General features: G+C 43.0%; 2 annotated features.

The window, feature by feature from the left end:
* Window positions 672-1,349: an enhancer, noted in NCBI's record as "OCT4-NANOG hESC enhancer chr3:155081268-155081945 (GRCh37/hg19 assembly coordinates)". NCBI's record gives its function as "activates a minimal SCP1, AML or CMV promoter by ChIP-STARR-seq in naive H9 embryonic stem cells {active_cell/tissue: H9 hESC(naive)}" and the evidence as "EXISTENCE:reporter gene assay evidence [ECO:0000049][PMID:30033119]".
* Window positions 1,350-2,028: an enhancer, noted in NCBI's record as "OCT4-NANOG-H3K27ac hESC enhancer chr3:155080589-155081267 (GRCh37/hg19 assembly coordinates)". NCBI's record gives its function as "activates a minimal SCP1, AML or CMV promoter by ChIP-STARR-seq in naive and primed H9 embryonic stem cells {active_cell/tissue: H9 hESC(naive and primed)}" and the evidence as "EXISTENCE:reporter gene assay evidence [ECO:0000049][PMID:30033119]".

Raw genomic sequence — 4,097 nt, 5'->3', positions numbered from 1 at the left:
AGAGAGAGGGAGAGAGAGAGACCCTTACAAATTGAGATTCTCTTTATAAATAAACATTTCTTTTACCAAGAGTTTTAAAATAGCCAGCTGAAGGCCAGAAGGTTGTACTTTGGATATTTAGTTTGATAGGTGGCCTTTAAACTTAGTTTCCGTTTCTTAACTGGATTATTGCTCACGCCAGAGCCCATTAACAAACAGGGCCAGACCCACTCATGACTCTTTGGGTTCTGTGAGGAAGACAGAGGACCTAAAAAGGGGCCAGTGATACCTTAGCTCTCTTTCTCAAAGAGGTATGAGAGTTACTAGAAGTTTCTTTCAGATTCTTTTATGTGACAACCAAGACTCTCATATTTCCTCTTAGTAATTTTTCATCCATTGACCACCAGATGAAGAAAGTAGGGGCTTGAAGGGGCACATATCAATGATTAAGGGGAAATGAATGGAAGATCATAGCAAAAACAGGGGTAGGAGCAAGTGGAAGAATGAGTCCTAGAGGAGCCAGTGTGGGGAGATCTCAAACTTTCAAAAAAAGGCCAATTAAATTTTACATCTTTTTAAGCAAAAATCTTGCCAAAAAAGGAAACAAGCAGAAGGAACGCACGTACAATTAAAAAGAGGTTTCAGTTGGATCAAAAAAATCCCCATGGGAGAAATGGGATCCAAAGGAGAACAGAAATGTCTAAAAATATGTATAATCTGAGTATCAGCTTTGCTTAAGCTGACTTTTGCTCATAGAATTCAAAGAATCTTTTGAATCTCTCATTATCAGTTTTAGCCAGAACAAAGCCAATATTCCTGGCTTTTGAACTTTTTGTCTTTTCTTTTAAACCAAAGGTAATTTCCCAGTGACTGAGAACGAAAACCTTAACCAAGGATGCATGAGGCATCTCCAAAAACGTGTAAAAAAGCAGTCCTCACAAGACCCAGAATTACCCCCTGGGTCTAGCAGCTACTAGATGAAAAAAAAAGAGACTTAGAGACAAACAGGAAAACAATAGCCATCCATGGAAGGGAAAGGGAAAAGAATCAATAAGAAATGAGTACATCAGAAAGTCAAGAGTCACACAAATATAAATTCAAAATAAGTAATCCAAACTAATTCTTATTGCTGGGCGAGGTGTCAGAGCCCTGGCATTGGAAAGTGGTTGACTTGTGGGTTGGTAAGAATTTACTGACAACGGTATGGGTTTGAAAACAGAAATATTTTTTAGAAAGAAGGAACGCTGCAGAAGAGTGCAGCGGGGGGCCTCAGCAAGAGAGGACTGAGCACAGCATGGTGGCTTTTTCTTTAGAGGTGTTTAGAGACCTTAAAGCGGAAGCTGAAGGGTAATTTGCATGATAAACGATTACATTTGTAGACATCTTGGTGCCTTAATGTCGGTAAGGATTGCACAATGAGTTTGGCAGTTCGGCATGCATGCATTCTGGAGGTGTATAGACATTCTAGTTTCCTGTAAATTTTAAGTTGAAAAGAGGCCTGGAACCAGGTGCTGACTTTAGATAATAGGGAAGTCTAATTACTTCTAAATTCCTCAAATAAGGAATTTTTCTTTTTGTCTCTTAATGGCCTGCTTGATGGTCACTAGGTGATCTTTGCTCTCCTTACTTATAAATGTTTCTTTTTACCTCCTGGGTTAAAGGACTTACATCTCTAAGGGACTGGTTCTCCGTCTGGGAATCAAACCTGGGCAGTGGATGTGAAAGCATGGAATCCTCGCCACTAGAATACAGGCTGGATTGCCCTTTTTGCATATCCCACAGGGAATCCAAAGCAGGCAGTGTGTGTATACACAGGGTTTTAACTTTGTTTTAAATCTGATTTCTGCCATTTTGGAATCTTGCCAATAGAATTTTAAAGGCTATATTTCTTTTGTATTTTTTCATAGATACCAATAAGATGGCTATTTAAGATAAGAGCTCTCTAAAAAGTTTTCTTTTAAATATAGTCCTTTTGTTTATTTCATAAGCGACTCAAGCCAACAGACATTTTTAATGGAAGGAACACCATGGACATAAGTGGCGTTTTAAAAATGGGTGCAGAAGATGCAGCATCATATGAAACCCTCAAAAATTTACTCCCAGAAATAAGTTAAATAACAAAAGACTCTCCTTCCACAGATGGTTAAGGATGATGTCTGTGCATATGTATGGTGCCTCTAGTATCCCACAAATTTGTGGGGGCTTGCCAGTCACAGGCTTGTTAATTTGTGACACTGGGTATACCCCCCTGGGATTGGACTTTCCCAGGCCTAATCAGGCAACAAGGATTGAGACAACAAAAGCCCCTCATGGGTGGGAATTCTTTCTTTTCTGAGACAGAGTCTCCCTCTGTCACCCAGGCTGGAGTGCAGTGGTGCAATCTCAGCTCACTGCAACCTCTGCCTCCTGGGTTCAAGCGATTCTCCTGCCTCTGCCTCCCAAGTAGCTGGGATTACAGGTGCATGCCACCACACCTGTCTAATTTTTGCATTTTTCATAGAGACAGGGTTTTGCCATGTTGGCCAGGCTGGTCTTGAACTCCTGATCTCAGGTGATCCACCCACCTAAGCCTCCCAAAGTGCTCGGATTACAGGCATGAGCCACTGCACCCAGCCTATGGATGGGAATTCTTATTAATACAAACTCCCCTGAGAGCTTGGCACATTCTGAACAAAGAGTGTGCTGCTTAATATCTTATGTGTCTAGAGATTCCCAGTCCTTTTGATATGGGGGGGTGCGGGCAGGGAAGTACTGGGTAGAGAAGTCTGGGTCCCTGGCCAGGGCTTCACCTCCAGCCTATGACCATGGGCCTAGATGAGGACAGGCATTTCTGTTTTCGTGCCCAAAAGTTGCATTTCCCAAGACCATCCTGGCCCACCATGTCCCCATCCTGTGCCTATAAAACCCCCAAGACCCTAACAGACATGCACACAAGCAGGTGGACGTCAAGAGGAACACACCAGTGGAAGAAGACACAAGTGGCTGGATATTGAGAGGAACGCACTGGTGAAAGAACACACCAACAGATGCCATCCAGCTGACAGGCCATCCACCAGTGCCGCAGAGTTTGGACAGGGCAGAAGGAGAGCCCAGCCACTGAGCAGCTTGACTCCAGGGCAAAACCATCTTCCTACTCCGTCTCCCTTCTAGCTCCCCCATTTACTGACTGCTATTTCCACTCAATAAAGTCTTGCATTGATTCTCCAAGCCCACGTGCGATCCAATTCTTCCAGTATGCCAAGGCAAGAAACCCCAGGATATGGAAAGCATTCTGTCCTTGCGATAAGGCAGGGGTTTAATTGAGCTGATCAACACAAGCCACCTATGGATGGCTAAACTGAAAGAGCACCCTGTAACACATGCCCACTGGGACTTCAGCGGTAAACATTCACCCCCAGCTGCTGCCATGGGGTCAGATCCCCATGATTGGCAAGTCTGCATACTCCTGCTAGAGGTTTGAGCAGTGGGGCACCAAAGAACTGAGCCACACACCCATCGCACACCATGCTAGGGGGATAAAGGAACTTTTCCTGTTTTACTTTCACATTGGCCACTGGCTGTGAATCAAAAGTTACACTCCTAGATGGTGGACACCAAAAGAGAGCGGTCCCATTCAGTCACAAGTTAAGGTCTCAAGGACATAATATTGGACAAGAGGTACTTTATGACAAATGACACAGAAAGACAGAGACAAAGGAAAAAAATAAAGACTATTTCTGGGAGGAAAGGATCAAACAATATGAATATTCATACCAAAACATACACCAGAGTCACTACACCTGAGACTAGTCTGTATAAATGATTTTCTCCTAATCTGGTTGTCCTGCCATGGTCACCAAAACTGTAGGATCCAAGGGAAAATTTCTCCTTCACCCTCTGAAGGTTTGCTGAAAATCAGCTGACAAAAGGGAAATGAATAGGAGAAAAGGCATGCGAAATTTATTAATATGTGCAAGAGTTGTACAAAATGTGAAAACTCAAAGAAAGAGCCAGATGGCTGACATTTTTATACCATTTTGAGGTTATAGTAAGAACAGGCATTTGGAGAATGGCAAGACAGGTTATGGGAGGTAGAGAGGAAGAAAGGCATGGGGCAAAGGTGGTATTATTAAGTGGAT

This window comes from Homo sapiens, chromosome 3 (genome assembly GCF_000001405.40).
Source record: "Homo sapiens chromosome 3, GRCh38.p14 Primary Assembly".
Taxonomy (NCBI): Eukaryota; Metazoa; Chordata; class Mammalia; order Primates; family Hominidae; genus Homo; species Homo sapiens.
Note: the sequence above shows the minus strand (reverse complement) of the source record. Positions and strands in the feature narration are given on the sequence as shown.